This window comes from Homo sapiens, chromosome 4 (genome assembly GCF_000001405.40).
Source record: "Homo sapiens chromosome 4, GRCh38.p14 Primary Assembly".
NCBI lineage: Eukaryota > Metazoa > Chordata > Mammalia > Primates > Hominidae > Homo > Homo sapiens.
The window spans coordinates 159073318-159085818 of NC_000004.12; the positions used below are offsets into that span (position 1 = coordinate 159073318).

At 40.5% G+C, this 12501-nt stretch overlaps 1 protein-coding gene across 1 annotated transcript in view, besides 1 other annotated feature; it reads right to left on the reverse strand.

Annotated features, from left to right (window-relative positions):
- The window catches only part of SPMIP2 (sperm microtubule inner protein 2), a 189752-nt gene extending 180184 nt beyond the window's left edge, over positions 1-9568 (reverse strand). Inside the window, exon 1 of the mRNA XM_011531671.3 lies at positions 9453-9568. The gene's annotated coding sequence lies outside the window, so the exon portion shown is untranslated. The remainder of the gene's footprint in view (positions 1-9452) is intronic.
- Positions 4434-4583: an enhancer, noted in NCBI's record as "active region_22089". NCBI's record gives its function as "activates an Ori minimal core promoter by ATAC-STARR-seq in GM12878 lymphoblastoid cells {active_cell/tissue: GM12878}" and the evidence as "EXISTENCE:reporter gene assay evidence [ECO:0000049][PMID:35858748]".
- Positions 9569-12501: the final 2933 nt, after the last annotated feature.

Sequence of the window (12501 nt, forward strand, 5' to 3'; positions counted from 1 at the left end):
TAAAACTTGTATATTTTGTAGGAATGGGGTTTCACCATGTTGCCCAAGCTGTTCTCAAACTCCTGGGCTCAAGCGATCTGCCCAACTCAGCCTCCCAAAGTGCTGGGATTACAGGTGTGAGCCACCGCACCTGGCTGGAAGAATACATTTTCTTCTATTATTCTACCTACTCTTCATTCAGGCTCTCTTTGACCAAAAAAATAAATAAGTAAAATTCCACAACAAATAATAAAACCAAAATACCTAACCATGCTTGTACTTTAAAAATAAGAAGAAATGGAAGCTCTCCTCTCTGTCCACCCTGCTGCCATCCTCCCTCTCCTAATCCAGTCATTTTTCCCTTCAGGAAATAATCTGGACTAGAAATATGTCCAAAATACGTCCTAAGAAAAACTGAATTCTGGCCGGACATGGTGGCTCATGCCTGTAATCCCAGCACTTTGGGAGGCTAGGGCGGGAGGATCACCTGAGGTCGGGAGTTCAAGACCAGCCTGGCCAAAATGGTGAAACACTATCTCTACTAAAAATACAAAAAAATTAGCTGGGCATCATGGCAGGCATCTGTAATCCCAGCTACTCGGGGGGCTAAGGCAGGAGAACCACCTTGAACCCAGGAGGTGGAGGTTGCAGTGAGCCAAGATCACATCACTGCACTCCAGCCTGGGTGACAGAGTGAGACTCTGTCTCAAAAAACAAAAACGAAAAACTTAATTCCAGTGGAGGCTTTCTGAAGACTCTTGGTGATAAAGGGTCCTGTTGACTCTGGTGAAAATGCAGGTCAAGACTTTTCTAGTGCATTTCTTGCCAGCATCACTGAATTATTCAAAACAATTGGGATTCAAATATTACAAACATATCAATTTATACTTTTTACCATTATTTCAATAGCACTTTTTTTTAGTTGCATGTGACAGAAACTTCAACTAGTTCAAGCACAGAGGGCATATACTATAGATGCTGTATGCTCATATAGCAGTGAAGGCAGGCGTAGAAGAGAGCTGCAGGAACAAGGAGCTCAGGGAATGAAATGGGCACAATGACTTCAGGACCCTCTCCTTGGCACCATCTTTCTCTTATTCCTAGTTGTCTGCTGAGTTCCATTCTATAGAAGGCTCTACTTGAGAAGATGAGGTATGGCCACAGAGAGCCCCAAGGTTACATTTATCAGTTATTCATTCAAGAAGAGGACAAGCCACTTCCCTCCAATTTGGGAAGTTCTGGGTACAGAATTCTTATTAGTCTGGCTTAGAGTGCAGCTTCACCTTGTGAAGTTATCCTTATTCTAAGGGATAGTAGGAATATAAGTGACCCACCATGATCCTGGGGTGGTTTTTGCAGTGAGTGGGGCAATGTGTAATGGAGCACATGTTTTACAATCTCAACAGAAGCAGGAGGTTGACCAGAAGAAGGAGGATATTGAATCTGGGAGGCAGATGAAAATATTAACTATACAGTCCATTATATTATTCATGTTAAGAATTTGTATCAACCAGAGACCCTCATAACATGAGGTAAGATGGGACACTCACATTAGGGATTTTCAAGAGAGCTTAATAAAGAGACTATTTACAAGGATGCAAGGGGGATGTGGGGAAACCACAGTGATGCAATTTCTTGGGGCTGGTAAGAGCAAGGGCCTTACCAATCTGAAGTCTGGTCAAGGATGGAGCCCTTGCCCTCTCACAGTGACCACCTTAGGGAGGGACATGGGGAATAAATACTTCAAACTCTTGCTGTCCTTCTCTCCCATCTCCTGCTGATGTACTCTATTAGTTGAACCTGCCTAGAAGCAAGCAAACAACAGAGTCCATTGATGTAGTCCTTATAGGTCAGCCTACCAGTGCAGGGACGAGAGTGGAAATGGGTGGTGATCTGGAGGGTCAAACAGAAAATTTGCAGCATGGCCTTATTTACCTACAGACAGATACACATGCATATACATGTACATTTCATGTGACAGAAACAACCATGTAACCGAATATTCAATTTAGTCATATACATAAATATGTCAATGAGATATTATCCGTGATATTCAAAGATTAACTTGTCATCAAGTATTGTGTAAACAAAATCTAAAGGTTATTATTTTCCTTTAACATTTTTTTCTAACCATACTTTAAAATACCACTGCATTGTATTGGATCATTTTGTAATTGTGTTTCTATAATGATGAGAGATTTCTAGTAGATGAGTGGCCTGGAAAAAATTCAAAGAGACAGCGTGGCATAATGAAAGCTTTTAGAGGTGGGCCAACTTGGATTTGAATCCTGTGTGATAATCTTGGTCACTTTAACTTCATCTGTGCCAACAGCGTGTAGGACAAAGCAATCATATCTGGTGACAGGATGTGTCATAGACCAATACTCAGGGACTTCCACTATGCATAAATCACCAACATTCACATTTTTAGATCCAATTAAAATAGTGATGCCATGACTATCAAGCATCAAGCAGAACATAATTTGACTCATCTTTTTTTTTTTTTTAAATTCTGAAAGCTCTTCAGTATTTTGTAATGAGGGCTCACAGTTTACAGTGATGAACATCCATGAGCGTTGGATAATGCTAAAACTTTTGCTTCACCATTTACAGCAGAAAAAAAACCCTGGCTGGTGGCACTAATTTTTTTTCCATGTAATCAAGAAGATTTTGCCACTAACTAGGCCTTTAAACCAATAGTTGGCTTTTAGTTTCTCTAATGATGGGGACGGTGGTGATGATGAGGATGATGCTGACATTTATAGGGTACTGTGTACTATGTGCTTCACACATGTTAATTCTCCCAACAACTGTGAGTCAGACACTATTGTCCCGATTTTACAGGTGAAGAACTTGCAGCTCAGAGGGTTATTAAAACAAGATCACACTTCCAATAAGCATTAAAACTTATCCTCAAACCTTGGTCTGTGTCATTCTAACACTTTCACTGATGGCTAAAGATTACCAACTCCCAAAAGATTGCTCTTTTGACCTATAGTTTTAATTCTGGGTGATAAGTTTACTCTGTTATTATTATACAGCATACAGCAAGCTATAATTAATTTCATGGTTACTTCTATTTTTGTAACTGCTGTTTTGATTTCTATTAGTTGAAATATCTATCTATGTAATGTCTTGTTACTAGAATAGTAATGGGACAACCAGCATATCATGAAAAAACCCAGCATATTATGAAAAGCATTTTATTTTAAATGCCTAATAAAAGCATGTTATTTTCATTTACAGTTTGAATACATGTTCACAATTTAAAATATAGGAAAAGTAGGGGTAAAGTCCTGATGTCCATTTTTTAATGGTAATAAACAGTAATAAATACTTTAAAACATACTTAAACAATTTTTTCCTTCTTTTCTTTCTTTTTTTCTTTAGAGATAGAGTCTTGCTCTGTTGCCCAGGTTGGAGTATAGTAATACAATCATAGCTCACTGCAGCCTCAAACTCCTGGGCTCAAAGGATTCTCCCACCTCAGCCTCCAGAGTCGCTGGGATTACAGACATGCATCACCATTCCTGGCACTAAACAGATTTTTTTTTTTTTTGAGATGGAGTCTCGCTCTTGCCCAGGCTGGAGTGTAATGGTGCCGTCTCGGCTCACTGCAGCCTCCACCTCCTAGGTTAGACCGATTCTCCTGCCTCAGCCTCCCGAATATCTGGGATTACAGGCACCTGCCACCATGCCTGGGTAATTTTTGTATTTTTAGCAGAGACAGGATTTTGCCATGTTGGCCAGGATGGTTTCGAACTCCTGACCTCAGGTGATCTGCCCACCTTGGCCTCCCAAAGTGCTAGGATTACAGGCGCGAGCCACTGCGCCTGGCCTAAACAGATTTTCTTTTTTTTTGAGACAGAGTTTCGCTCTTGTTGCGCAGGCTGGAGTACAATGGTGCGGTCTCGGCTCACCACAACCACAATCTCCGCCTCCCAGGTTCAAGTGATTCTCGTGCCTCAGCCTCCCAAGTAGCTGGGATTACAGGTGCCTGCCACCACGCCTGGCTAATTTTTGCATTATTAGTAGAGATGGGGTTTCTCCATGTTGGTCAGGCTGGTCTCAAACTCCTGACCTCAGGTGATCTGCCGCCTCGGCCTCCCAAAGTGCTGGGATTACAAGTGTGAGCCATCACACCTGGCCCAGATTTTCTTTTAATGTGTTTTTCTTAGGAGGGTTTTTCTTGGGAGGGAAGGTTAGCTTCTTTGGTTTCTAACCCAACGTTTGAGGTTAGTAATACTTTCTTATAAATTACTCTCATTATTTAATAAGATGGCATGCTTTATAAACCCAGCTGTATTAGAAATGTATAATCAAATTTTTCTTTTACACTTTTAAAATTTATTGAAAAATTTCTTTCCTTAAAGCAGATGTTACCAAACTCAGGAGACCAAAGTCCCATTGGTTAATTCATTTCGAACTCAGTGTTAAAGCATGATACAAAGAGATCTTTAATTACCTAGAAAGAAACTCTTAGGTAACAGAGTGATGATGACTAATATACTGGAAACAAAATGAAAACAGAAGCTTTCAATTTAATGGAACAAAGTAATATCCTGTCAAATAAAGTACTGAAACTGAGATATGTAAACCAATGCTATTACGGTAGCAAACAGGTGGCACTTTCATTTTCTTTTCCAATTACCAAAGAGGGGATGTAATCAAGAGTCTCAAGTTTATATATAAATAACATAGAAAAAAAGGCAAGCTACCTCTAAAAATCATATTTTTAAATGTGAAAAAAAGCAGAGGACTGGGGAGACAGATATTTGAAAGTTAAATCTAAACTTTGATTTTATTTTTTTGATTTTGCTTCAAAAATTAAATGGAAAGTAAAGGGGGAAAATCGGAAAGAACAGCATACAAATAATGTTTGTTAAAGAAAGTTTTCAGTGTATTATGTATTTTACGTCATGATTCCTGTGCAGTCATGAGCACCAAAGCTTGCTCTGAGATCCAGAACAGTGCCTGGCTTTGTAGTACATCTCCAATAAATATCCCTTAAATAAATAAATAAATCCCCAAGCAATTGGCAGGAATCCAGACTAGAACTTGATAGCACTAGTTCTACACCAAGTTTCTGAATTTCGAAAAGATGAGAGTGCGGAGTTCCTACTGGCATGGAAATGGCTCTGTCCTAAGGGCAAATAGTGCCCCAGTGGAGAAACACTGAGGGCTTCAAGACTTCCTCTACTCAAATGCCAATATTTTTCATATAAGCACTTCACTAAGTTGGTCAGCACTTTTTATCTTAGGCTGAATAAATTTGAGAGAACCTTCCAAAGCCTGGGTATTTAATGGAGAATGGCTGAGGGTTAGAAGGTGAAGAAAGCTTGATGACTGCATGGGTGGATTGTAAGGAAAGACATGGGATTGTGTGGGTGGATTGTAAGGAAAAGCAGGAAGTAAAAAGACAAATTTCTCACTTGACATTGGAGATAGAGGTGGTCCTACACAACTTGAACATTACCTAGTTTCCTAGATCAATATGATCCAGTGGACAAACTAATTTGTCATGTAAAAACCAACTGGAGGCCAGGCATGGTGGCTCATGCCTGTAATCCCAGCACTTTGGGAGGCTGAGGCGGGTGAATCACTTGAGGTCAGGAGTTTGAGACCAGCTTGGCCAACACAGTGAAACCCCATCTCTACTAAAAATACAGAAATTAGCTGGGTGTGGTGGTGCAAGCCTGTAATCCCAGCTACTCAGGAAGCTGAGACAGGAGAATCACTTGAACCTGGGAGGTGGAGGTCGCAGTGAGCTGAGATCATGCCATAGCACTCCAACCTGGGTGACAGAGTGAGATCCCATCTCAAAAATAAATAAATAAATAATAATAATAATAACTGGAAACTTTAAAACACTGTCATGGTGTGTTTGTGTCCCTCCCAAAATTCATGTGTTGACATCCTAACCTCCAAAGTGATGTTTTTTAGAGGTGTGGCCTTTAGGGAGGCAATTAGGTCATGAGGGCTCCACCCACATGAATGGAATTAGTGGCCAAAAAAAGAGACTCCAGAGAGCTTCCTTGCCCCTTCCACCATGTGAGGACACAGCAAGAAGCTGCCTTCTAAGAAATCAGGAAACTGATCCTCACCAGACACCGAATCTGCTGGTGCACACCCTGTTCTCAGGCTTTCTAGCTTCCAGAACTGCGAGAAATAAATTTCTGTTTTTTATAAGCTACCCAGTTCCAGGTATTTTGTTATAGCAGCCTGAGCAGGCTAAGACAAATATACTGATTTCTGTTCAAGAAGTCTTCTAGTCAAGAAGACTTGGGGTTTTTGTATTGGCTGTTTTCATGGCAAATTGTTTGGTTTTACCAAGCCAGAGATCAACCATATATTTAAAGCACAAAAATTTGGAATCCTGAATTTCATTTGGTTTCTGCTTTAATTTGGTGTTCTATGTGAGTTCTATATTTGGCACATGAAAATTGTCACAGGATATTACTTTTTACTTTTAATCACCTTTTGGTTTTGATTGTTCTTTCCTGCTTTTAATTAGATTTTTAGTAATAGGAAAAATGGGTTTGAGGAGAGTGTTTTTAAAAAACACTAATGCATTCTCAAGCTGAAAAAAAAGTAAAAATAGTAAAGCATTTTAATTTTAATTGTATTATTTATGTTACCTATGAAGCACTTCTCTAGCATTTAAATCCCACCTACAGTCTCAAAATGATCTTTTGCTTTATTCCATCATCTCCCATTATTATCAAATAATCAAATAATAATAAAAAGTGTCAAATAATAATAATGGGAAATGGGAATAATAGTGAGAATCCCAGTTGTCTTTTGGCATGTCTTGATGTACAAAGTGACTGTACAGACTTTTTCTCTCGCCTCTAGAAGCTTACAATCTAGAAAAGATATATGCGTTCTGATACATGCACAACAAAGACTTTATTTATTTATTTATTTATTTATTTATTTTAAGATGGTCTCACTCCATTGCTCATGCTGGAATGCAATGGCACAATCACGGCTCACTGCCACCTCGAACTCCTGGGTTCACGTGATCCTCCCACCTCCACCTCCCAAGTAACCAGGACTATGGGCACAGGTTACCACACCAGGCTAATTAAAAAATTTTTTTTGTAGAGACAGGGGTCTCCCTATGCTGCCCAGGCTGGTCTTGAACTCCTGAGCTCAAGCAGTCCTCCTGCCTCGGGTCTCAAAGTGCTGACATTACAGGCATGAGCCCCTCATTGAGCCCCTTAATTGATTCTTGAGCTAATTCATAAATGGGCAGTAACTTATTGTGACATATAGATTAAAGCAGCGATTCCCCATTATTAACACTTTTGGTATCTCCTCATATGAGTGCCCCCCACCATCTATTTCTATTTCTATATGTATATATAGCTATACCTCTTTTTAAAAAACAACAAAATTGGGCTATCATGGTAAATTCAGGTGTGAAGTGTAATTTGTTTGTTTGTTTGTTTGTTTGAGACAGAGCCCAGGCTGGAGTGCAGTGGCACGATCTCGGCTCACTGCAAGCTCCACCTCCCAGGTTCACGCCGTTCTCCTGCCTCAGCCTCCTGAGTAGCTGGGACTACAGGCGCCCACCACCATGCCCGGCTAATTTTTTGTATTTTTAGTAGAGACGGGTTTTCACCGTGTTAGCCAGGATAGTCTCGATCTCCTAACCTTGTGATCCGCCTGCCTTGGCCTCCCAAAGTTCTGGGATTACAGGCACGAATGACTGTGCCCGGACTCTTTGTTTCTTTCTCTTTTTTTTTTTTTTTTTGAGACGGAGTCTCACTCTGTCACCCAGGCTGGAGTGCAGTGGCATGATCTTGGCTCACTGCAACCTCCACCTCCCGGGTTCAAGTGATTCTCCTGTCTCAGCCTCCCAAGTAGCTGGGATTACAGGTGCGCACCACTGCACCTGGCTAATTTTTTGTATTTTTAGTAGAGACGAGGTTTTGCCATGTTGGCCAGATTGGTCTTGAACTCCTGACCTCAGGTGCTTCAACCGCCTCAGCCACCCAAAGTGCAGGGATTACAGGCATGAGCCACCATGGCCAGCCGATTTTTTTCTTACTAAGCATATTGTGAGCAATACTCATGTTATTAAATAATTTTGAGAATGTAATTTTAGGCTGGTCATGGTGGCTCATGCCTGGAGTCCCAGCACTTTGGGACTGCAGGCAGGAGGATTGCTTAGGCTCAGGAGTTCAAGACCAGCCTAGGCAGCATTGGGAGACCCTTGTCTCTACAAAAAATATAAAAATTAGCTTGGTGTGGTGGCGCACTCCTGCAGTCCTAGCTACTTCGGAGGCTGAGATGAGATCACATGAGCCTAGGAGGTGGAGGTTGCAGTGAGCCATGTTTGCTCTGCACTCCACTGCACTCCAGCCTGGGTGACAGAGTGAGACTCTGTCTCCAAAAAGAGAGAGAGAGAAAAAAACAAAAAGAAAATGTGATTTTAAAGCTGTATTTTATTCTATTGCTTTAACATAATTTATTTAATAAGCCCTTTCTTGTTGAATATTAAGATTGTAACCACCTTTGCATTATTATAAACAGTGGTACAGTTAACTCTTATTTACTTATAACTAAATTTTAGAAGTGATATAATGAGTCAAGGAGGGCCTGGAATTCTGTGTACAGATTATTGGATTCTTGATTTTCTCATATTTTCCCATCCAGACTCTGCTGAAACTCAACACTTACTCATTTAATGAACCTGGTTTACATGAGAGTTCTTTAAAAGTTGTGCTTCTAGGCTGGACGTGGTGGCTCATGCCTGTAATCCCAACACTTTGGGAGGAGAAGGCGAGCAGATCACTTGAGGTCAGGAATTTGAGACCAGCCCGGCCAATATGGCAAAACCCTATCTCTGCTAAGAATGCAAAAAAAAAAAAAAAAAAAATTAGGTGGGCGTGGTGGCAGGCACCTGTAATCCCAGCTACTCTGGAAGCTGAGGCAGGAGAATCACTTGAACCTGGGAGGCAGAGGTTGCAGTGAGCTGAGATTGCACCATTGCACTCCAGCCTGGGTGACAGAGTGAGATTCCATCTCAAATAAATAAATAAATAAATAAATAAATGTTGTGCTTCTACTATGAGGAGATAAACCATAAAGAAGAAAATCAAGCAGAAAAATGAATAATCTAAATCTAACAATTCCACTTTTCTCTGTGTGTGTGTGTGTGTGTGTGTGTGTGTGTGTGTGTGTGTGTGTTTTGAACCTGAAAGGCAGAAGGATTTATCAAATATGAACCTGGAAAAAATGAATGGACTGAAGACTGAGAATAGGAGGTTAAGAAAGGCATTTGATGACAAGCTGGGAGTGCTGAAATATTATCTTCAAATAAATATTAAGCAATTTTAGAAAAAAAGATGCTCAATTACTTTTTCACTAATGTAATTAATCTGATCATAATTAGAAACTACATTGCAAAAACCATTCTGGTTATATATTGGCAGGTAAATAATCAATTCAATTCAACTACTTACCTATTTCCTATGTTTGAAATTAAACTATTTGGGCCAGGTACATTGGCTCATGTCTATAATCCCAGCACTTTGGGAGGCTGAGGCAGGAAGATGGCTTGAGCCCAGACTGGTCTCAAATTCCACAGTGAGATGCCATCTCTACAAAAAATACACACATACAAAAAGAAATTTAAGTTTTGGATTTCTCCAGTCTCCTTGGTTTGTCTTAGTGCCTGACAGCATAATCAGAGCTGAGTTTATTGGCTCCTAGTATTTTATTAGATTTCTATTTAAATGTAGGTTTTGGTGTTTATTAATCATTTGGGAGATAGATTCACAATGCTGCAATTTTCTCATTTAAAATGTGTGCTTGGCAGGGTGCGCTGGCTCATGCCTGTACTCTCAGCACTTTGGGAGGCCGATGCGAGTGGATCACCTGAGGTCGGGAATTCAAGACCAGCCTGATCAACATGGAGAAACCCTCCGTCTCTACTAAAAATACAAAATTAGCCGGGCGTAGTGGCACATGCCTGTAATCCCAGATACTTGGGAGGCTGAGGCAGGAGAATCGCTTGAACCCGGGAGGCAGAGGTTGCAGTGAGACGAGATCACGCCATTGCACATTGCACTCCAGCCTGGGGAACAAGAGAGAAACTCCATCTCAAAAGAAAAAGTATGCTTAATTCTTGTCAATGTTAATACATGTTAGGTGTGCACATCAAAGTAAAACTATGAATAGGCCATGCCTTGGGAGATTAAATGCTGCCGATTTCTCACTGTCAGAAATTGCCTTATTTCTTTCACATTTCACTAATTCAGTTGAGTCCCTTGTGTATCCTAGTCATACATTATGATGTAATTTTTCAGGTAAAAATGCTCTGTTCTTCCAGAAATCATCTTTTCTGAAGATTCTTTCAACTTTGTTTAAAACCATAGCCTTGAGGAGCAGTCACATTTTGAAAATATGTCAGTTTTGCCATACCCATCATCCTTTTCATTTCTGGGGAAACTATGAAAACTAGGAAGCTATGAAAACTAGGACAAGTTGATTTTAATTAATATTCTCATAATTCTCTCTAGAGTGAATTGTAATTTCCATTACTTTAAAAGTGCTTCTGGGACCCCAAGAGACAACATTCCCCAGCTTAACTACAGAGTTACAAGTAAGTATAGTAAATATTAGTATGGTATTGTGATTTAAGAAAATTGTTGGCCAGGCAGGGTGGCTCATGCCTGTAATCCCAACACTTTGGGAAGCCAAGGCGGGCGGATCACTTGAGCTCAGGACTTCAAGACCAGCCGCACGAACATGGCAAAACCATGTCTCTACTAAAAATCCACACACAAAAAAAATTAGCTGGGCATCATGGTGCATGGCTGTAATCCCAGCTATTCAGGAGGCTGAGGCAGGAGAATCGCTTGAACCAGAAAGTTGGAGGTTGCAGTGAGCCGAGATCGTGCCACCGCACTCCAGCCTGGCGACAGAGCAAGACTCTGTCTGAAAACAAAAACAAAACCTAAGGATTAGGCCCTGTTACATGTTGTGTTTTATGAATTTGTTAGCAATCTATAAATTTAATAATATGAATGCGGATGAGTTATCCGTTATCCTTTTGTATGAGATAAGGAAGTGTATTTAGAGGACAGGTACAGTTACAAAAGTTACAGACTACCTCTGTAGAGCATAGAGCAATCGTTTAATTTGGTTATATGTAGGGCGAAGCTATCACATGTATTTGTGTTAAAAAAAAAAATAAAATGAAAAACTTCCTGCAATCATGGAAAACAGAATAGGGCTTGATACTTGAGTGTTAAACAGGTTTGCAATCACCCTGAGTAATCTAGCAGACAATCCACCACCCACCCTATTATATAAGGAATCATATTTAGTTTTTTTTAAAAGCATATGTTTAAATTTAGACACTTTTTTGGCTGATGCACTCTTGCAAAGTTGTCCTTGAATAGGAAAAGGTAACTTACCACAGTCACAGCACACAGCCATTGTTCCTGGTTGCACACCTTGTTCCTGGTTGGGGCAGGTGCCCCCAAATCATGCTGGATTGTCTTTCCATGGTACCCTCATGGCTGACCAGGCCTGGATACAGACTCTTAGAAATCTTAATGCTGACAAAATTATGGTGCACCACCCCCCCCATATTCAATTCTCAATAAAACAATGCTATTTTTTTTTTTTTTTTTGAGACAGAGTCTCGCTCTGTCGTGCAGTGGTGTGACCTCAGTTCACCGCAACCTCTGCCTCCCATCTGCAACCAATCAAGTGATTTTCCTGCCTCAGCCTCCCGAGTAGCTGGGATTACAGGCATGCACCACCACGTCTGGCTAATTTTTGTATTTTTAGTAGAGATGGGATTTCACTATGTTGCCCAGCTGGTCTCAAACTCCTGACCTCAGGTGATTCACTCACCTTGGCCTCCCAAAGTGCTGGGATTACAGGTGTGAGCCACTGTGTCCAGTCAAGTAATGCTAATTTGTATGGTAGAGTCCAACAACTTCTGATTTTTCTTTTAATGATATTTAATTATTTCATTGAATTTCTTACGAATTGTACTGTTAATGTGATTAGATAAAAAATGTTTTCATCAGTAGGAAGTACGTGCTGAAATATTTTGAAGTTTAGTGTCGTGATGTTTGGAACTTGCAAATTCTTTAGTAAAAAAGACCCTATGTGTATACACACACACACACACACACACACACACAGAGAGAGAGAGGCAGAGACAGAGAGAGAGACAGACCAACAGACAGAAAGACAAAGAGAGACAGAGATGGGCACAGACAGAGACAGAGAGATGGACCGAAATGTGGTAAAATATGTATGATTTTTTTCAAATTTTCTGTAGGGGGGAAAAACACATAATCACTAAAATTAGAATGCCAAGTATCAAAAGAAGCATAGTTGATAAGTATTTTGTGTAAACTTATTTATTTATTTTTTTGAGGCAGGGTCTCCCCTCTGTTGCCCAGACTGGAGTGCAGTGATGTGACCACTGCATGCTGCTCACCATAGCCTCAACCTCCCAGACTCAGGCAATCCTCCCACCTAAGTCCC